General features: G+C 38.7%; 2 protein-coding genes across 7 annotated transcripts, besides 4 other annotated features; one reads left to right on the top strand and one right to left on the bottom strand.

Annotated features, from left to right (window-relative positions):
* Window positions 1-1,095: 1,095 nt before the first annotated feature.
* RBM7 (RNA binding motif protein 7) lies at window positions 1,096-11,037 on the bottom strand. Of its 5 annotated transcripts, none has more exons than NM_001286045.2 (5): window positions 10,936-11,037; window positions 9,843-10,005; window positions 8,788-8,875; window positions 5,904-5,997; window positions 1,096-4,258 (listed from the first exon to the last, which is right to left on the bottom strand). In NM_001286045.2, exons 1-5 carry the CDS (start codon window positions 11,029-11,031, stop codon window positions 3,896-3,898), a joined length of 804 nt encoding a protein of 267 aa, NP_001272974.1. In that variant the 5' UTR covers window positions 11,032-11,037; the 3' UTR covers window positions 1,096-3,895. The 5 variants fall into 5 exon arrangements, with proteins under 5 accessions (NP_001272974.1, NP_057174.1, NP_001272975.1 ...); NM_016090.4 differs by having other exon boundaries at window positions 5,904-5,994; NM_001286046.2 differs by having other exon boundaries at window positions 8,788-8,871.
* Window positions 10,865-11,407: an enhancer, noted in NCBI's record as "NANOG-H3K27ac-H3K4me1 hESC enhancer chr11:114271018-114271560 (GRCh37/hg19 assembly coordinates)". NCBI's record gives its function as "activates a minimal SCP1, AML or CMV promoter by ChIP-STARR-seq in primed H9 embryonic stem cells {active_cell/tissue: H9 hESC(primed)}" and the evidence as "EXISTENCE:reporter gene assay evidence [ECO:0000049][PMID:30033119]".
* Window positions 10,865-11,950: a biological region, named in NCBI's record as "NANOG-H3K27ac-H3K4me1 hESC enhancers GRCh37_chr11:114270475-114271017 and GRCh37_chr11:114271018-114271560".
* On the top strand, window positions 11,192-20,260 carry C11orf71 (chromosome 11 open reading frame 71). 2 transcript variants are annotated; one of them, NM_019021.4, is made up of 2 exons: window positions 11,192-11,714; window positions 20,038-20,260. In NM_019021.4, the coding sequence occupies exons 1-2, from the start codon at window positions 11,372-11,374 to the stop codon at window positions 20,136-20,138; spliced, it is 444 nt and encodes a 147-aa protein (NP_061894.2). In that variant the 5' UTR covers window positions 11,192-11,371; the 3' UTR covers window positions 20,139-20,260. The 2 variants fall into 2 exon arrangements, with proteins under 2 accessions (NP_061894.2, NP_001258491.1); NM_001271562.2 differs by lacking the exon at window positions 20,038-20,260 and having other exon boundaries at window positions 11,192-13,171.
* Window positions 11,305-11,694: an enhancer, noted in NCBI's record as "active region_5544". NCBI's record gives its function as "activates an Ori minimal core promoter by ATAC-STARR-seq in GM12878 lymphoblastoid cells {active_cell/tissue: GM12878}" and the evidence as "EXISTENCE:reporter gene assay evidence [ECO:0000049][PMID:35858748]".
* Window positions 11,408-11,950: an enhancer, noted in NCBI's record as "NANOG-H3K27ac-H3K4me1 hESC enhancer chr11:114270475-114271017 (GRCh37/hg19 assembly coordinates)". NCBI's record gives its function as "activates a minimal SCP1, AML or CMV promoter by ChIP-STARR-seq in primed H9 embryonic stem cells {active_cell/tissue: H9 hESC(primed)}" and the evidence as "EXISTENCE:reporter gene assay evidence [ECO:0000049][PMID:30033119]".
* Window positions 20,261-22,138: the final 1,878 nt, after the last annotated feature.

Below are 22,138 nucleotides of genomic sequence, written 5' to 3'. Positions count from 1 at the left end.
AAAGTAGCAAACCTGAAAAGATAACTCTAAAGGAAATTGATAAAGCAATCAAAGAGCTATTTCCAAAGCAAACCCAGATAGTTGTATAAATGAGTTCAACACATCTTGCAGAAACGGCTAATTCCTTTATTATTCAAATTTGGGGGGGGGCATAGAAGATGATAAGCTTGCCAATTTATTTTATAAGGCTAGCAGAACCATACTCCTAAACCAAACTAAGATAATACAATTAAAAAACAAAATCAGGCTGGTACAGTGACTCATGCCTGTAATCCCAGCACTTTGGGAGGCCGAGTCAGGCAGATCACCTGAGGTTGGGAGTTCAAGACCAGCATGGCCAACATGGGGAAAACCCGTCTCTATTACAAATACAAAAATTAGCCAGGCGTGGTGGTGGGTGCCTGTAATTCCAGCTACTCGGGAGGCTGAGGTGAGAGAATCACTGGAACCCAGGAGGCGGAGGTAGCAGTGAGCTGAGATTGTGCCACTCTACTCCAGCCTGGGTGACAGAGTGAGGCTCTGCCATAAATAAATTAAAATAAAATAAAAACAAAGTCACACATTATTCATGAATACAGATCCAAAACTTTTTGAAGTTTGACAAAATGAACAAATAGAATTCTAGAATACATGTACTGTGACATGTAATTCTCAGGATGCAATGTTTTAGGTTTAGAGAGCCTATTCAAAGTTTTATGTGTTGAATCCTCCTTTTCCTTATTCAATTAACAGACGTTCTTCCTTTCATCAAAAAGTTTCACTGTTAAATATATGCCAGGCACTGGATCCTGGGAATGCAGTGATGAATAAGATAAGGTCTGTCTTCATAGAGCTGTCTACAGAGACAGACAAGTAAAAAGAAAATTATAATACAGTCTAAAGGCTATGATAAAAGAAAAAGATATTTGGGGAATACATAACTTGGCACTGAATCTGGATTTCAGAGCTCTGGAAAGGCTTTCTAGAGGAAGTAATGCATAGATTGAGCAGTGAAGGGCAGTTACTATGAGAACTAAAGTGGGGAAGTCATCAGAGGAGACTGAAGTAGCACATGCCAAATAGGGGTCATATTAAGTTGAGAATTTTGTACTTAAGTCAGAGGCCACTGAAGCTTTATTCAGGCGAGTGACAGATTTACATCTTCAATTCTTAAGAGTGTGGAATAAATTTGAGGAAAGAAGACTGGAAGCAGGAAAACATTAGGGTGTTCTTGGAATAATCCTCTTGAGAAAATTGCCTACTCTAAGATGGTAGCAGTAGGTATGGGGAAAGTGGGCACACACAACATAATTAGAAAGTGGTATAAAAATTTTATTTTAGATGGGGAAAGGTAGAAAATACTAGGTTAAGTATAAAGGGATTTCTTTACCTATAGTACTTGTCAGAAATTTTATGGTGCTGTTTTTGAGTAAAAGAAAGTCACACAGTAACACAAAATGGCTTCCAAACATTTGATTTTTTTTTTCTTTTTTTTAGAAGACTTTATGAGACACTAGCATTCCACAGGAAACACTATGGGAGAAACTGTTCTCCCACAAAAATAATCTCTTCTTCCTTTCTGTTCTTGCAGCTGTCAATATAGATGAAGCATCCCAAATCTGAAATCTGAAATGCTCCAAAATATGAAACTTTTTGAGTGCCAATACAGATGTGACACTCAGGGGAAAGGCTCATTGGAGCACTGTGGATTTCCGGACCTGGGATGCTCAACTGGCAAGCATTAATGCAAATATTCCAGAACCCAAAACACTTCTCAAGCATTTTGAATAAGGGATGCTCAAACCTGTACTTCTGAGTTGTCTCACCAACTATATTCAATTTTTTAAGGCTGTCTTGTCCTGTCCCTTTACACAATACATGTATTTAGTTTGGTTACTTTCAGCTCACTGAAAGTGAAGTGAAAAAGAAGATTCACCAGAACTTCACAAGCTTCCCTCAAAAAGCCATTGAAAAAGATTATTCTGAGTCAGGGTCATCTGTTAACCAATATAAAAGGATCCGACCCACAGATAACGTTGTAATAAAGCAGTATTAGGCCAGGCGCGGTGGCTCACACCTGTAATTCCAGCACCTCGGTAGGCCAAGGTAGGTGGATCACTTGAGGTCAGGAGTTTGAGACCAGCCTGGCCAATGTGGTGAAACCCCATCTCTACTAAAAATACAAAAACTAGCCAGGCGTGGTGGTGGGTGCCTGTAATCCCAGCTACTCGGGAGGCTAAGGCAGGAGAATCACTTGAACCCGGGATATGGAGGTTGCAGTGACCTGAGATCCCGCCATTGCACTCTAGCCTGGGTGTCGTAGCAAGACTCTGTCTCAAAAAAAAAACAAAAACAAACATGCAGTATTAATCTTCGTTAACATCTACAAACCTACTAAGTTTTCATATGGATAAGATACCCAAAAATAATAATCTCATTGGAAACAAATTCTGTGAAAATGCTTAAGCAAACAAATTGTTTATCTTAATTCTATAGTGAGTAGTTGAATAGCTACATTTACTTAGAAACAGAAAAACTGAATTCATTTATAAACAGGAAATCTAAGTGTACTTTAACTCCTAGAGACCACTGAGGGTAACTAAAGTACTCCAAGCTATAATCGAGGGGTCACTGAAAATCTGATTGTGAAACATCATGCTCTATATGTACAAAAGATGTATTTCAGGATGCTCAAAATTAAAGAACTGATATTCTAAACAGCAGGCAATCAGTGAATAAAAGTATGTTAATTCTTTGTGTACAATGTCTCTGAAGTCAGTGACATAAAAAAAAAAAAATAACACACACCCTTCCTTTTATATTTTCAGTATATTAAAAAGGAACAGTACAAATGCTGTGGTATTAAAAAGGATCCTTATTTTTCAACAAATGAACTTTTATAAACAATTCTGTAATGAAATGAAAACAGTATCTTAATACAAGCTTTTGTTAAACAAGATTTTAAAATTTTAAAATTAGAAAACGTTAAGATTAAACTCTTTCAAAGGTTCAAACAAAAAAACAACCTGTACAATCTCCATTACATGTGTCTTTGTACACAGTCTGGGCACTTTGAAAATGTTAAAGTTTTTAACGTTTGACTGACAGAAGCAGCACTTAAAGGCTTCATGAATCTATTTTCCAAAAAAGTATGCTTTCAGTAAAACATTTTACCATTTTATCTAACTATGCACTGACATTTTTGTTCTTCCTGAAAAGGGGATTTATGCTAACACTGTATTTTTAATGTAAAAATATACGTGTAGAGATATTTTAACTTCCTGAGTGACTTATACCTCAAATGGGATTTAATGAACAATTTCTAAATTTTAGAATGAAACAGTATGTGTAAATCTACACATGTATGTTCAACTAGGGTAAAGCTCAAGAGCATGTCACAGAATTTATACCTAAATTATATAAGAAGTTAAGCAATGCCTTTATCCCCAAACTTTACCAATAAGCCTTCTCAAATAGAATGTTAGTAAAGTGAATCACTGAAAAGTTTCATTTTTGAATTAACTAAAATACCAGTAGCCATTTTAGACTGTCAACCTGGATGTTTTCTTGATTCACTAGCAAGAAATTTCTTGCAATACAAAAAGATAACAAATAATTAAAATATCTGCTTTATCATACAACTTCACCCCCTCCTAAAGTGTCTAAAATGATTAGGAATTGTAGCACTTTCTTTTGCATAAAACCCTTTCCTCTTCATAAAACCCTGAGGTGAAAGGTTATTAATGTAATAAAACCGCAATTCATTTTGTATTAAACTGTAGCTTTAAAAAAATTTATAAAGAAATGTGACAACTTGTAAAGCTGCTCTGTACAGTTTTTCAACAAAATATTTCCATATCAACTTAGTCAAAGGGCCTAAAATGACCCTATAAAAACAATGTCCTTTTAACATGTGTTAGTGTCGAGATGAGCGCCATTTTCCATCTCTACTACTGTCTCTTCTGTTATCATAGTCATGGCTCCAGTCATCATGATTCCTGTCTTCATAGAAGAAATCATCTCTCTTTCCTCTGTAATGATGGTCAGACCCATGATCAGTGTAACGCTGTTCCCGGCTATAATGTCTATCTGCTAGGTAGGGATAAGAATTCATTCTGACTTTACGCTGTGATGATGGTGTACCTTGGCGCCACTGGGAGCTTGAAGACTGATTGAAACTATGACTGTGTGATTGAACTGATGGTGAAAATCCTGATTGATCCAGAGGTGAAGAACCAAATTTTCCACCATATGACATTTGTCTCAAAGCACTGTTCATCTGAGGAATAGGAAAAGTGGAAATGTTAATACTTCTAGATATCAAAGCTAATATGTATTTGGTCAGTTAACAGAAAATGAAAGAAAATAAAGTCACTCTTGCCTAGATGGATCCACAACTAAAGCAGTACAATAGCTTCAATCATTCCAATGTATACCTACAAGATACATATATATACATAAATACTACTCTTTGTCCTCAAGAATGCAACTCAGAATAAGTCACACAAAATGACTATAATGCAAAATCACTGTGTAAAAAACAAAGAATCAGGAGATCAGTATCATTAGGAAAGGTTTCATGAAGGTGGCATATGATCTGGGTATTAAAACAATGGATGGAATATTTTCATATTTTAAGGGAGAGATATGCCAAGAAAAGGAAATTGCACAAACAAAAATAACAGGGAAACACAGAACAGGTTCATAGAATACCAAGTAATTCTTTGAGACAGGTTACAGATCTCGGCTCACTGCAAGCTCCACCTCCCGGGTTCAAGCGATTCTCCTGCCTCAGCCTCCCAAGTAGCTGGGACTACAGGCCTGTGCCACCACGCCCGGCTAATTTTTGTATTTTTAGTAGAGACGGGGTTTCACCATCTTGGCCAGGCTGGTCTCGAACTCCTGACCTCGTGATCCACCCACCTCAGCCTCCCAAAGTGCTGGGGTTACAGGCGTTAGCCACCGCACCCGGCCTTCAGATCTTAATAAGCAGTGAACAATTAAAGGTAAGGCTACAGGGTTTACTGGAATCAGACAATAAGAATCCCTAATAATTGGGCTAGAGGAATCTGACTTCATCTTACAAACAATGGAAAGTCAATGTGCAAGGAAGATAAGCAAAACAGAATTGTAATATTAATTCTGAAATGGTGTGCAAGATGAACTAGTGAGGGGAAAATGGGGGCATAATTGACTAGACCGGTGGTTCCCAAATTCTGCCTGTGGATAAATATTAGTATATGATCATTTTTATTTTAATAGTCTACGGTACAATTAGAAAAATAGGCAATATGTACATAAAAGTTAACATCCTTTATACTGGTCTCTCAAATTTATTTTGACTTCTATATTTCATTTTGCAGACCTATGAAATACAAAAGCCTGGGGACTACAAGTCAAGATCATGATTTAGGCACCAAATAGTTACCAACAGCTTCCTACTTGAACAAATGATGACAAAGATGAAACAGTGAAAGATAGCTAAGATTTTAAGCCTAGTCTCATGATGATGTTACCACCACCAAAAAAAGAAAAGGTTAAGTTTAAAATGGAACTGGTCTAGAAGACCCAAGTTTATGATAAGTCACTCAGGATAGGGTACAGGAGCATCAGACAATGAGTAAATGATGGTTGAAAAGAAAAACAAATGTAAAAGCAGTTTTACTTCTATTTATCTTCAGTCTTTTAAGTATATATTTCAGCCCAGTGAAAACTAAAATGAGTGCTCAATCTACAAATCATGCTAGTCTAACAAAAATTTGAGAAAAAGTTATCTAAAAAGTTCACTTACGCCTTGAGGACTAAAGGAACAAAACCTCCAACTTAACAAAGTTAATTAAAAACCAGTTATTTGATACAATGCGAACATTTTAACTAAGGATGATTTTTTTTTGGCAATTCAAGTTGAAAAATAGTCAACCTACCACTGCTTGTCTCTGAAAATTTTCTGGAGAAGAGAAAGATCTCTGAATTATCTGTGCTGATGAAGTCATGTTATCCATAGTCCTTTCGTACCTGCTAAAAAGAAAACCAACATGTAACCATTCATTCAATAAATATTTACTAACTAACAACCATGAGCAGAACACATTTCTCAAAGGTCGGAATGAACAAGACAGGAAAGGTATCTGCTCTCATGCAGCCAGAATAAGAATACAGACAACAGGATATTTTCTCATGATTTTAAGTGATAAAACGTATGATTAAAGATCAAGTGGAAGTGAAACAGATAGGAGGTTCCCCTATCTTTTAGCTGGTGAGCGACTGCCTTTCTAAAAAGGTGACATTTGTAGTTAGAACTGAACACCAAGGTTACCTAGAGGCAAAAACTTCCCAGCTGAAGGACTAGTGCAGGGGTGAGCAAGTATAGCCAGTGGGCCAAACTGCCAAATTCAGTTTTCCCTAAACAAAGTGTTACTGGAACATAGCCACACCATTGTTTTTGTATTATCTATGGCTACTTTAGTGCTACAATGGCAGAGACAGAAACAGTATCTTCTGCAAAGTCTAAAATATTAACTATATGGTCCTTTCTAGAAATAATTTGTCAGTCCCTGAGCTAATGCAAAGACCTAGATTGAAAACTAAAATGAAAAGAATTTGATCGACTGGATATGTGGAATGAGGGAAGAAACAAAGGATCAAATCTAGACTTGGCTTGAGCAATTAGGTAGATATTTCCCGAGACAAAAAAGAGAAAGAGGTTTTGGGAGGTAAGGAATTAAGAGTTCTGTAACATACATAGGATATTACTTTTGAGGATTTATACCTTATTCCCTATTTATTAAAGGGATAACTTGCTCTACAGAAAAGCTCACTTTAAAAATGTTTTAAATTATTTTTAAATGTCTTTAGAATCAAATAGCCAATTGGCTGGTCTTACACTTTGGATCTTTTAATTTTGCGTTTTTTCAAATCAGGTTATATTATCTGTATGCTGAGGGGGGCAGTACAATTTAGTTTATAGTATAAAAATTATAAACTCTCTAGCCTTTGATTAAAACCAAAGTATTTACTTGTACTTTTTTTTTTTCAAAGAAATTCTTTAAATAGAGAGAGTGCCTTGTTATGTTGCCTAGGCTAGTCCCAAACTCAAGGCCTCAAGTGGTCCTCCCACCACAGCCTTCCAAGTAGCTGGGACTATACGAATGGGTCACTGCACCTGGTTTTTTCTCCCCAAGAAATTCTAAGAGGGAAAACTTTTTATTTTCCTCTACCTAGGATGCCTTTGAAGACTCCATTAAAGGGGCTGGAAGTGCTTTAAATGCCAACTTTACCAAGAAATGTTTAAACACTGTTAATTAATTTCAGCTGGCAAGAAAGAACACCGGGAGGGTACACTTTTTGCACTATTGCTGGCTCACTATTCCACTTTCTAGTATCTCTTCATATCCATCCACTTCTCTCCAGCTCATGGCACCACCTTAATCTAAACTATCAACCTCATCCATCAATAGCTTCCAACATCAATGCCTTGCTACCAAAAGCTTCCTCACTGCTCTATTTTCACTCTTGCCCCCTCCAATCCATTCTCCCACTGCAACCAAACAACTCTTAAAATATAAACTTGTTCCTATCAGTACCCTACCTAAAACATTTCACTGCCTTCCTACTCCATTTTAGGGTAAAATCTCAAAATCCTGATTATAGTTTAAAAGACCCTCTCCAGCCTATCTACCAAAATCCCCTACTGCTCTCCATTTTCATTCATTATGATCTAGGTACACTGGCTTCTTTCAGTTCCACATTCATCTATATCATCTCCTTCTCTTAAAATTTTCTCAAAGCCCTTTGTACTCTTTCTTTAGAGAACTTATTACAGTAATTGAACAGGTATTCACAAAAATATATATAATATGTGTCTTCATTTAGACTTTAAGCTCCTCTAGATAATACATCATAGTGGCTGGGCTCAATCACACTACACTGCCTGGGTTTGAATCCCAGCCCACTGAACCTGAGCAAGTTAACCTCCATTTTTCATTTCCCTTCATATAAGAGGTAGAGATAAAAATAATCCCTACCCTCATAAAACTGCTGTGAGGAATAAATGAAATCATATATGTAAAAGATATGGTGAAGAACCTGACATATGGCAGGTATTTATTAAATCTTTCTTAAATGACTGTTAAATAGCTTTATGGATATACCGGGAAAAATTGTCCCTGGTAAAATATGAACCTCCCCAAAGCAAATAAAATCATTTAAGTAAATATGATATTTTCTAATACTCAGTACCTGAAGAGATTTTACAAATCATTTAATTCAACTTATTTTCCTTACACATGGGAAGACGGGACTAAAGAAAGGAGACTAGCTCAAGATTACACAATTGATAGATGCAGACCTAGAATCCAATTCTAGGAATTCTTAGTCCAATAGACTGTTGACTAACTGGTATTTTTCAACTGTAAGTAACAACCAATTAATGACTGTAAAATAAATTTTAAAATGTTTTAAATGAAATAGTAATCCAAGTAGTGAGGGTAAATAATGTTTTGAGAAATTTTGTTTCAAGTGTATACATGTACTGTACACATATGTGGGTATGGTTATGTCGCTACAAATCAACAAATAGTTATATACGTATCTATTCTAAGGGGACTATATACAATGTGTTTGTCTATAGAATAGACACATTCTATACCCCTTAGAATAGATACATAACAACAACCCCAAAAGGCAAGTAATAACGGCAGAATGAAGAGATAAGAGAATAATGAAGGAGACTATTTACTCATGTGTTTTGAGGCTATTCCCTATAAGAATTCCTGATAAATGATCTTAACAATAAGTGAGAAATATTACCTGCTAGGAGATGTGGAGGTAGGGCTTGAATTTCCAACATGATGTTGGGGATATGACAAACTGACATCTTGTGGGGCATGACTACTTCCTAAAATGAAACAATTTGAAAAATTATTCTTGATAGAAAATCTAATTTGAAATTTTGTCTTCCCCACTTGAAATCACTCCAAAAAGGTAAACACAATCTAAAAGAGAAAAATCTCAAACTACTGGCCGGGCGCGGTGGCTGACGCCTGTAATCCCAGCACTTTGGGAGGCTGACGTGGGCACATCTCTCGAGGCCAGGAGTTCGAGACCAGCCTGACCAACATGGTGAAACCCCACCTCTACTAAAAATACAAAGAATTAGCCAGGCGTGGTGGCGTGCACCTGTAATCCCAGCTACTCAGGAGGCTAAGGCAGGAGAATCACTTGAACCTGGGAGGCAGAGGTTGCAGTGAGCTGAAATTGCACCACTGCACTCCAGCCTAGGCAACAGGGCAAGACTCCATCTCAAAAAAAAAAAAAAAAAAAAAAAAAAAAAAAAAAAAAAAGAATCTCAAGCTGCTGTAGACCGCTTTACGGCTTCATCGGGGTGAAAATTATAAGTGTATAATATCAGATAAGCAAAACAAAGCACTCCATAAATATCCAATCTGACCATAATTTTCTGATCTCCACCCTAAATTGTAACACTGGATACATGGACAGTTTCATCCTCACATGATCAAGAACCAAAATATATAAAAGTAATTACAAAGCAGCCAGGAGAAGTATTTTCAGAAAATAAACCTAGCTCTTTTCAGAGTACCCAAGCCCAGCTCTCTTAGTGATACAGTTTATGTTTTTTCACTAACCCAAAATGAAACTTTAAGCTCAGTTTTGAAATTCTAATTTCAAAATCCATGTGTCAATGTTACCCGTTTTCAGGGATATATAAAGTTTGCTATATAAAGTTTACTATTCACAATGCTTAAGAAAGAAGTTTCATCTACAAATAAGAGGTTCTTTAAAACTGAATAATAAATTTAAAAACAGCAGGAAACAATGCCCCCCGAACCTCATTGGGCAGTTACCTGATCTAAATTGAATTTTGATAGGCCTTCCATAAAGTTTGATTCCATTAAGTAGATTCATTGCATAAGGAACAGACACTTCATGTTTGAAATTCACAAACGCAAACTGCTTTGGTTTACCATCCTTATCTTTTGGAATTTTCACCTTTATTACTGGCCCAGCCTACAAACAAAAAGGTGTTTAGAATTTAAATAAAGCAACTAAGGGAAAATACTCAAATTTTACAAATAAGATATGACAAAGTTTAAAAACAACAGAAACGTAATCAGAAACTTCTTTTGAAAATGATGCACGGATTTCCATTTTGGCTACAGTAAACATCCTAGTTATGACTGAACATTAGATTTATTTGGGGAAGGGGGCCCATAAGGAACTGGAAACACAATCACTTTTGCAATTCACAGCACTGTATGGCTTAACATAGTGACCAATCGCCATTATTTTGCCACTCCATGAAAATGAACATTTATCAAGAACAAGAGAATGATTTTCTTTAACTAAAAACGGACTTTTGTATTGATTAATCAAACAATACCAGTTATTAGGGGATAGGGATGGGGGGAATAGGATACTCAGAATTTTTCACACTTTTTAATACAGCAACACTAAAATGCTGTTTTTCTACGGAGTACTTAACCATTTTATTTTACATATTTTAATAATGCTGCAATTTGATAAGCAAACTTTAGGGGAAAACAGACACAAATAAATTAAAATATTAAGTTCCCAGTCAGATAAACCAAAGACAAATTATCCTAAGGGGAAGATGACAACAGGAAGGATAAGAAAAAGCACTGCTCAACGAAGACCCTACACACACACTGTGTTCCCAAGGACCCCTGGATCTCTACCACGGGAAACCTGATCGAGGATCCCTCCACCACCTTTAGTCGTCACTTTCGGCCTAAACGAACCAAGATCTTCCAGGAAAGCGACACCCAGCGAGCGTTTCGCAACCCAGACCCGCCTTTCACCCCCAAACAGCCACCCGTCGGGTCCCCTGACGGCTACGAAAAGAAAACGGGGTGGCCGCTGGCCAGGCCCTAGGCGAGACGGAAAACGAAAGGCAAAGGGCCGAACCCAGCCGCTTACCTGGTGGAAAAGCTCGAAAAGGAGCTCCTCGGTCACTTTCGTTTCAAGGTTGCCCACAAAGAGAGTGCGATCCGCTTCCGCCGCCGCCGCCCCCATCTCAGCGTCGCCCCCTCCCTAACCTGGCCAAAAGGTCGTGGCCGACGCACCCACTGCGCATTCACGGAAGCCCCACGTCCTCACGCTCCCTGGCGTCACAAACGAAAACGCCCGTTGCGCTTGCTCTCAGCGGGCGACGACGTGCGCGGACGGTCTGCGCATGCTCGCCAGGATACCCCTCGTTAAAGGCAAGGCGGCTTCTGGCTCTTCCGCAGGCTCAGTTATGGGTTCCTGTGTGCTTAGTCATCGGGTCCGACACAGGCTGGACTGATCTGGGGAGCCGCGAAGGGCCTGCCTTCACAAAGGGACGTAACGCAAGTACTGCGGGCAGTGTTTGAATATGGCCCTGAACAATGTGTCCCTGTCCTCCGGTGATCAGAGGAGCAGGGTGGCCTACCGCTCTTCCCATGGCGACCTCAGACCGCGGGCGTCAGCGTTGGCGATGGTCTCCGGAGACGGCTTCCTCGTTTCCAGGCCTGAAGCGATTCATCTAGGACCTCGGCAGGCGGTGCGACCAAGCGTTCGGGCCGAGAGCCGTCGAGTGGATGGTGGCGGCCGGAGCCCAAGGGAACCAGATGGCCGGGGCCGGAGCCGCCAAGCCAGATTCTCACCTTACCCAATCCCTGCCGTTGAACCCGATCTCCTAAGAAGTGTGCTGCAACAGCGTTTGATTGCATTAGGAGGTGTTATCGCAGCTCGAATTTCAGTTTAAACGAACACCTTTCCTCTGGCCCTCACTTAGCTTGTGAACAGGCCTTTTTAAAATCCTTTCTTGGTGTAGCAGCAATCGTGTTGTTTTATTTTTAGATGGATGTATTTTCATTTAATACGTGGGAGTTATATGAATATGTCCTAGCACTAAGGGAAGTGTAACAGTTGATTGATTTAGGTGGTTTTATGCAGCCAGAACGATTGGATCAGGAAAGGTGTGGAAGGGATATTCTTAGGTCGTCACAAAGCTGAGCTGATGGGAGCACCCTCCCCAGAGGTCAACAATCCATTCGTTAACTCAGACACTTAACCTTTACCTTTACTTCTGTTGGCGAAAAAGAAGTGCTCCTTTTTATTACACTGATTTATCCTTCCATCTTTTCCTTGGCATTTACCATCTTCCATCTCCCCCTTCACTTTTTTCAGATATGTCTACAAACAGACTCCAATCTCAGTCGCACTAAAAATAAGAACAAAACCTAAACCTTACAGTTCTTTCAAATTATTAAATCAATTTATTATTCCTTTCTTTGGCAAAGGTTCCAAATTTTTACTTTATATTTGTAATTTTACTATTTGCATTCAGTCCCAGCGCATTAATCTGAATCTGCTGTCCTAAAATACACTGGTGAAAACATTACTTGTACAATCTCCTATCAGAAAACTGTTCATCTACTCACTGTAGTGCCCTCCTTGAAATGTGTGTTTGTTCATTCAACTAACAATATTTGGGGATCCCTGTAGTAAACACTGTATGAATTTTACACAGTCTGGCCATCAAGAAAGATCACGGAGTATATTCTAGATGGGGAGGCTACTAAGTGAATAGGAATCACCACGCTGGGCTGTTTATTAGGTACAGTAATAAACATAAGTACTGGTTGCAGTGACTTTTTTTTTTTTTTTTTCATCATAATACTGCACTATCCTGGTTCTTCTCTTACCTGGCTGATCACTCCTTATTTGCTGTTATTTTTGTTCTCTTAACCATACATTTCCCAATGTTTAAAGGGTGGTATTTTGAGAAAGTTAATGGGTTTTGTAAGTGCCAGCTCTTTATATAAGCAGGTAGACTAGCTTTTTCCCAGCAGACGCTTGTCTGTTTAGACTTCCTTAAAATAATTATCTTCAAATAAAGCAAAATCTCCATACACCACATAGTATTGAATTGTTATAACTACGTGTTAAGAAGAATGTTGAGTAAACAAGATAGCTTCCATAAGAGGGTGATTAATATAGTGAGAATTCTAGAAACCAGATCATAGGAAGAATGATTGAAAGAATAGTAATAGCTACCTTTTATTGAGTGCTATGTGCAAGTCAGTGTGCTAGGACTTCTATTGTTTATAGAGATATTTATTGAGAACTTACTCTGTACCTGCTACTGCCTGCGGTAAGCACTTAGAATAAAGTGGTGAACATGATAAAAGTATGTGTTCCTAAGGAACTTTATATGTTATTTGATTCTCACAGCAGCCCATAAGAGGGGTACTCTACTTTCATTTTGTTACTGAAAAACAGCGTGAAGGAGATAAACTTTCCAAGGTCATATAGCTAGTAAATGATAGAGCCCTGCAGCCTTTCAAATGAGGTTCCTCATCTGAATGCAAAAAAAATGACTTGAGTAACTATTTTCTCAATTTTCCCAAGGATAATATATAACTAATTTTTTTTCAGATAACTAAAAAGAAGTTAGTTTGTAATATACAATGGATGGCTTAATCTGGGCATTACAAAAACCCGTGGTTGAGAAAGGAATTCCAAACTATAAACAGAGTGTTAGACTGGGGAAGAAGAATAAAATTAAAGCTGAAGATAAAGAAGCCTTTCTTAAAACTTAGAGATGCCTAGTAGTGGAAAATACCACCTCAAAAGGTAATGAATTAGCTGCCAGAAAGTTCAGAGAGGCTGAATCTTGTGAAGGATTTTGTCAAAGGAATCCTCATAGTGCGAAATATGACTAGATGACTTCTTCATTTTTTCCCATTTAGTATATAATCCTATGCTTTAAAAAATAAACTCGGTTAAAGTTGAAATGGGGAGTTGGGGGATGAGGAGAGAAAAATTAGGTATGACATATTGGGTGACCATATCAGCAAATGAGGGCACTTGGGAGTGGAAGAGGGTGCCATCAATTATGCCAAGGTGACAGGCAGACCAGTTGGCTCATGTAATTATCACCTACAAAATGATTCAGCACTAAATATGCATTGGAAGCATATTTTTTAGCTTATGAGGGAAAAGAGGATGAGATTTGTCAAATGAAGGAACAAAAGTACACAAAAGTGCTCAAGAGCAAGGGAGGACCAAGTGGGAGTGACTTCATTTCTGTTTGTTCTGGAATGGGGTCATCAAGAATAGGGCTTTGGTTGAATAATAGTGTATGTGCAGTAAACAAGAAAATGGTGTGGTTTGTGTTTTGTTTGGCAAGAGAGAACCTTGTTCACATAAATGCTCCATTATTTTAAATCTGAGTCAATGGATATCTAAATTCTTGTTCTTAACATCTGCAGTAGCATTCAAGTTACAATGTGACCCTCGAGTCACAAAGACTGTATTGTAGAAGCACAAACCAACATAAACCCCTTTTTAATTAAATTATCTAAAGCAGGGACAACTAAGTTTCCCAAGAGCAGACCATATTATTAAACATCCATATATTAGTGCACAAAATGAATTTTTATATAGTATCAATGATTAAACATAGCATGTTGTCATTCTAAAATAGATGATTTCTAAGAATTGTCCCAAACAATTATACTTCTGTAAGTTTTTAAAAAGCCATTGTAACTTTCAGTTTGTTTTTACTGCCTCTACTTCTTATATCATACTAAGCAACTGGCTAGCATGTGTTGAAATGGGGCCCTAATAAGATATTTACTTCCTCTATTCATCAGCACTAAAACTCCTAAAAAGCAGTTTTAAGAACTCTGAAAAAGAAGAGTTGTGTTATTTTTGTTTTGTGTTGTTTTAATATCCATTTGGGAGATTGGAAAAAAAGACCAATGAGATTGCTTCCCTCAGTAGCCAATCTGGTGATAAAGGTAACTTTAAGAGGGCTGACTTGGAAGGTAGAAAAGAAGAAGAAAGGAGGGTGAAAAGTCCAATAGGAGGAAAGAGTAAGGTTCAACTTTCTTTCCAGCAGAATTAATTGTATGTCTTTCATTCCCTTGGTAAGTTTATCCAGATCCCACTAAGGTGCAGCTTTTGTTTTCTTAATTTCTATGAAGAGTTTACCAATTTTTCTAGCCAACAAAATGTATGTTTGAATACCTTTGACTCAGTACCACCTGTGTCCTTTCCTCATTGCCTATTTCCATTCAGTTGCAAAGTCCTGCCCAATTGAAATTCAAAATATATTTATGTTATCTTTTTGTAATCACTCATCACCTGGACTATATTTACCTGGACATGTAGCCTGTTTTCTTTGCCTCTGTCTCTCTACTTCATCCTAAATGTGTGTAGCCTCCAAATTAATATTCCTAAAGCACATCTCTGATCACATAACTAATACTTTAGTGTTTCCCAAAGTATATTCTACAGAACTTTCACTAGAAATACAAGATACACCTTTGAAAAAAAGGCATGAGGCCAATAAATTTGACAAGCACATGCTTTATTGCCTTCTTAGGGAGTCATAATGTGTAAGGGCATGTTAAAGGTTCAGAAAAAGACACCTGTTTGATGATGTTTCAACTTGTGTTTCACAAATTTATTTGTCCATAAATTTAAAATCTTTGCATACTACTGCCTTCCTGGGGAGCCTCTCTTCTACAGAAACGTAATTAGAAATGCCTTACTTAAAAAGCTCCACTGGCTCCCTAATGGATCCAATTTTTCAGGTACTAGAAATGGATTTTTATATAGTGTGTCAGACTTTGGTAAGCTTCCAGAATTTTAGGAGTGGGGCACGATTGGTCGGGCCTGTAGTACCAGGCTGTAGGCTAAGGTGGGAGAATCCCTTGAGCCCAGGAGTTGGAGGAATGTAGTGAGCTACGATCACACCACTGCACTCCAGCCTGGCCAACAGAGGGAGACTCTTTCTAAACAAACAATGTTACTAATTAGGCAGATGGGCTGGTTTTCTCACTCCTGGTTTGATAAGGTTCAACCCTATCTTGACTGCACATGATGACCCATACCTATCAATGTCTTTGGCAAGTGGGTGGGAGAAGGGAGGCAAGCATGCAGCTGCAGATTCCCTAGGCACTGAGGATCAAAATTGGCATTATTACTCATGACAGACATTAGGAACATCCACTGATGAATACAGGTGAGTGCAAGTGTTTCTTAACAATGCTAATGATGTATTTTCTTTTTAAAGTAACAGTTTACTTGGCTCCTTATTTCACTAGAATATCTGAAGGCTGCCCTACTTCAAAATGCACTTCTAAATCAGAGGAAGAAAATATTGCCTTCAACTTCCCAAAGACCTGAGAGTCACTGAAGCAGTGCAACTCTCATACATTGCACACTCCAAAAACATTTCAGACTTTCCATAATGTGACCAAGCTGCATTGCCAGCCTTTCCTCCTTAATTCCCCCAGGTGGTTGCTGTTCTCTGCATCTGTGGCAACGCCCTTAACCAAATTGCTTGTCCTCATTTTCTGTTGGTTAAACTTTTATCCATCTAGATTAGTAAATGGCTCCTTACATTCAAAGAACACACTTATTTTAACCAGGTTAAGCAAAAAATGAACTATATTGACTGACAGAGCTGGGAAGGCAGAGGGCACCTCCTCACTCTGTGTTCAAGTATTTGGGTGAGACTTCACAGCTAATTCCAGGGATAGAGGTGTAATCTATGTCTTATCTCTCCTCTGTAGAAGCTCCCTGAGGGTAGGCAACATGTCTAAATTTATCCTGTGCCCAAAGAGTAGATATTTAATGAATGCGTGTTGAATGAATGAATAACCTTCACGGATAGGCTATGTCTCCTTGGAATCAAAATCCAAAAATACAACATGTCAGGAAGGCAAGGGCATAAATTGTAGTCTCTTTTGTCTGCAATTATCTAGTTGCCTGGGCAAATAAGAGTAACAAGGTAAGATAAATTTTTCTTAAAGGATTACTTCAGTTTGAAATCAACCTGCCGCTAGGAATACAACCTAAAGTTAGCTCCTAATCCAAGATGTGGACAAATATTTATGAACATAAATATTTAATGCATATAACATTTTTCTGTTTATAATTTTAAAAAACCCTGGAAACCTATGCCCAAAATAGATGATGGATTAAAAAAAGTCAATACCTGGCTGGGCGTGGTGGCTCACACTTGTAATACCAGCACTTTGGGAGGCCGAGGAGTCCGGATCACAAGGTCAGGAGATGGAGACCATCCCGGCTAACACGGTGAAATCCCGTCTCGCTGGGCGCAGTGGCTCACGCCTGTAATCCCAGCACTTTGGGAGGCCAACGTGGGTGGATCACCTGAGGTCAAGAGTTTGAGACCAGCCTGGCCAACATGGTGAAACCCCATCTCTACTAAAAATACAAAAATTAGCCAGGCGTGGTGGCAGGTGCCTGTAATCCCAGCTACTTGGGAGTCTGAGGCAGGAGAATCGCTTGAACCTGGGAGGCAGAAGTTGCAGTGAGCCAAGATCGTGCCACTGCACTCCAGCCTGGGCAACAGAGTGCGACTCCGTCTCAAAAAGAAAAGAAAAGAAAATAAGAGAAAAGAAAAGAAAAGAAAAGAAAAGAAAAGAAAAGAAAAGAAAAGAAAAGAAAAGAAAGAAAAGAAAAGAAAAGAAAAGAAAAGAAAAGAAAAGAAAAGAAAAGAAACGAAACCCCGTCTCTACCAAAAATACAAAAAAAATTAGCCGGAGTGGTGATGGGCGCCTGTAGTCCCAGCTACTTGGGAGGCTGAGGCAGGAGAATGGCGTGAACCCGGGAGGCGGAGCTTGCAGGGAGCCTAGATCGCACCACTGCACTCCAGCCTGGGCGACAGAGCGAGACTCTGTCTCAAAAAGAAAAAAAGTTATATTCTAGTTTGCTGCTAACCACTTTCACAAGGATTCTTTTATTTAATCCTCACAATCATGCTATGACAGGGATTGGCAAACATTTTCTGAAGACCTAGGTAGTAAATATTTTAGACTTTGTGGTCCAACAGGTAAAAATCGAAGCTCTTATGTAAATACTTACATAACAAGAGAGAAAACAAACTTTCACAAAGTTTGTTCAAATGAAATTCAAAGTATATTAATTGAATACAATTTTTTGTAGTGCTAATGCTTTCAAGGAAAAGATGGAATTCTTTTTTTGGAGGGATACCATTTCACTTAACTGAAGTACAAAATTAAGTGTTCTTTATCATCAAAATCAATAGCGAATGCTCATCTATAAATGCTGATTTTTAATGAGATTTTGTGTATTTCATCTTCAAAATGTCTTTTCATACAGATAGGTACTGACAAATACTGATATGAATCCACAGGCATATGATTTTAATTGAACATATTCATCATTGGGAAGGCATTTATAAAATTCTATTACATTTTTCTCTTGATATTTGCCTTTTAGCCTGTCATTACATTGCAAATTAATTGCTTCCGATTGAAGTAGAAGCTCCTCAATTGCAGAGTTAAATGGACTTTGAATTGTGAACATATTCTTTGCACTTATGTCCAGGTCTAAAAGACACTGTTAGAACTCTACCTTGAGCTTGTAAAATTTATCTACTGCAAGTATGTGTGGGTGTGGAGATCTTGCTTCTTGTTTTAACTTTTAACAGATAGGAAGGCATAAAGCAGCTTGAGATGCTGGTGTTCAAACAATGTTAAGTTGTTGTTGAAATGACTTTACCACCCTATAAGTGTGGCATGTAAGAGCTGTTTTGCCTTATAATTTTAGGTTTGAGAAACATAAGTCTGCAGCAAAAGCTAATTGCTGAACCCGTTCACAGTTCAGTAACAGGTTAAAGGTACCACTTTACTTTCCAACCATTTCTAAATGTACTAACCATTCTTAGCTGGAGGACTGTACAAAACTAGCAGAGGGCTAGATTTAGCCTTCAGGCCTTAGTTTGCAGAGAATTTTAGTAACTGCCTAAAGGCACAGAACTATGTAGTGGTGGAGGGAGTATTCACTTGTTGACTATGCAATACCACTTATCATGCTAGAGTGGCCAGTGGGCAGATCTGGCACGGGGTTTTCTGTGGCTAACAGGATTTTTTTTTTTTTCCTGAAAAAGATGCATTGTACAATTTTTTTTTGTTTTTTTTTTTTTGAGACAGGATCTTACTCTATTGCTCAGGCTCTGGGGTGCAGTGCGGTGATCATGGCTCACTGTAACCTTGGCTTTTTGGGCTCAGGCAATTCTGCCACCTCAGCCTCCCCAGTAGCTGGGATTACAGGCACACACCACCATACCCAGCTAATGTTTTTTCTTTTTTCTTCTTCTTCTTCTTCTTTTTTTTTTTTTTTTTTTTTGTCTCATTCTATCACCTAGGCTGGAGTGTAGTGGCATGATCTCAGCTCCCTGCAACCTCCATCTCCCGGGTTCCAGTGATTCTCCTGCCTCAGCCTCCTCAGTAGCTGGGATTACAGATGCCCATCACCAAGCCTGGCTAATTTCCGTATTTTTAGTAGAGACGGGATTTCACCATGTTGGCCAGACTGGTCTCGAAGTCCTAACCTCCAGTGATCCACTCGCCTCGGCCTCCCAAAGTGTTGCGATTACAGGCATAAGCCACAGCACCCAGCCCTTAGCTAATTTTTTTGTAGAGATGGGGTTTCGCCATGTTTCCCAGGCTAGTCTTGAATTCCTGGGCTCGAGTGATCTGCCAGTCTCAGCTTCCCAAAGTGTTGGGATTACAGGCATGAGCCACTGTGCCTGGCCACAATATTTAATATGTACAAAACAGTGTAAGTAAAATGCAACCAATACCTGTATACTTACCATTCAAGTAAAATATTGCTCCACATGTTAAACACCCTTGGTTTAACTCAGCTTGATAATCTGCCCACATCACTTATTCCTGCCAAACATAATCGTTGTGCTGAATTTGGTGTTTTGCATTCCCATGCTTTATTTTAAAAAAAAAAAAAACAGCTTTAACTACGTGTCTATCCCTGATGTATCCCTAAGTGTAATATCTAATTGTTTTACATGTTTTAAAACAACATAATATATTATATTGCACATATTCTTTTGTGACTTGCTTATTGTCCCCACTGAATTTTGTCAGCACATGTTTAGAAATAAAATAAATTTGAATCCCTTTTGCTGGGACATGCATTTTTGGTTACCACCACTCCCTGCCATCTTATACTCATCCATTTTGTGTATTTTAGTTACTACCTGGACCCTGAAGCTATCTGAGTCTGCAACCCCTGATTTAAGATGGTGTTCAACATGCAGCCATTCAAATATTTTTGAAATTTTAGTAATATGAACTGATTTGTGATATAATTACATTTATATTATTTAAGATAAAAATTGGATATGAAATTGTATGTATTATATGATCTTACCTATATGAATGAAATATGCATTAAAAAACTAGAATTGCCAAAATGTTATTTCTAAGTGATGGCATTTTTTTGTGATTTGTACTTTGCTCATTATATTTTTCCGAATGCATAATTGCAAATTTTAATCAGGAAACATATTTATTTTATTTTTACTTTTTGTAGAGATGGGGTCTTTCTATGTTGCCCAGGCTGGTCTTGAACTCCTGACTACAAGTGATCCTCTGACCTCAGCCTCGCAAAGCGCTGGTATTACAGGTATGAGCTACCATGCCCAGTCAGAATTTTTTATTTATTTTATTTATTTTATTTTTTTGAGACAGAGTCTCACACTTGTAGCCCAGGCTGGAGTGCAATGGCACGATCTCGGCTCCCTGCAACCTCTGCCTCCCAGGTTCAAGCGATTCTCCTGCCTCAGCCTCCCTAGTAGCTGGGATTACAGACGCCTGCCACCACACCTGGCTAATTTTTTTGTATTTTTAGTAGAGACGGGGTTCCACCATGTTGGACCAGGCTGGTCTCCTGACCTCAGGTAGCCCACCCACCTCGGCCTCCCAAAGTGCTGGGATTACAGGCGTGAGCCACAGCACCCCACCCAGAAAATACTCTTAAAACTTTAAATTATCTGTAAAATATTTAAATAAAGCTATTACAATTTCTCTTTATTTCTTTTTTTTAATTAAAAAATTTTTTTTGTAGAGATGGGGTCTTACTATGTTAACCAGCTGGTCTCCAACTCCTGGCCTCAAGCAATTCTCCTGCCTTGGCCTCCCAAAGCGCTGGGATTACAGGCATGAGCCACAGTGCCCAGCCTCTCTTTATTTCTTTTCTCTTTTTTTTTTTTTTTTTTTTTTGAGACAGAGTCTCGCTCTGTTGCCCAGGCTGGAGTGCAAGTGGCACAATCTTGGTTCATTGCAGCCTCCGCCTCCTGGGTTCAAGTAATTCTCCTGCCTCAGCTTCCCGAGTAGCTGGGATTACAGGCATGAGCCACCACACCCAGCTTATTTTTGTATTTTTAGTAGAGACAGGGTTTCACCATGTGGGCCAGGCTGGTCTCCAACTCCTGACCTCAGGTGTTCGTCCACCTCAGCCTCCCAAAGTTCTGGGATTACAGGCGTGAGCCACCATGCCTGGCCTCTGTATCTCTTAATCATATTAAGTTTAGACTATTATTAACTACTTAACATAAATCAATCAATTCTTGCATTGTCCTCCCAGTAGGTCATTTCAAAATAATAATAAATTATGTATAGGGGCTACAGCCTAGGCCAAAGAACAAATGCATTAGCTCTGCTGAATCATTTTTCTTAAACACTGTCAAACAAAGATTGTTAAACTCTATCAAAACAAAGATTGTAGGCCAGGTGTGGTGGCTCACGCCTGTAATCCCAGCACTTTGGGAGGCCAAGGTGGGTGGATCACCTGAGGTCAGAAGTTTGAGACCAGCCTGGCCAACATTGTGAAACCCTGTCTTTACTAAAAATACAAACATTAGCCAAGCATGGTGGCTTATGCCTGTAACCCCAGCTACTTGGGAAGCTGAGGCAGAAGAATTACTGGAACCCAGGGGATGGAGGTTGCAATGAACCAAGATCGTGCCACTGCACTCCAGCCTGGGCAACAGAGTGAGACTCTGTCTCAAAAAAAGAAAAGAAAAGAAAGAGAGGCTGGGTGCTGTGGCACACACCGGTGATCTCAGTGCTTTAGGAGGCCAAGGCAGGAGAATTGCTTGAGTCCAGCAGTTGGAGACCAGCTGGTTAACATAGGAAGACTTCCATCTCTACAAAAAAAATTTTTTTAATTAAAAAAAAAAAAGAAATAAAGAGAAATAGTAATATCTTTATTTAAATATTTTACAGATAATTTAAAGTTTTAGAAGTATTTTCTGGGCGGGGCATGGTGGCTCACGCCTGTAATCCCAGCA

The sequence above is a fragment of the Homo sapiens genome, chromosome 11 (genome assembly GCF_000001405.40).
Source record: "Homo sapiens chromosome 11, GRCh38.p14 Primary Assembly".
Lineage (NCBI taxonomy): Eukaryota > Metazoa > Chordata > Mammalia > Primates > Hominidae > Homo > Homo sapiens.
Note: the sequence above shows the minus strand (reverse complement) of the source record. Positions and strands in the feature narration are given on the sequence as shown.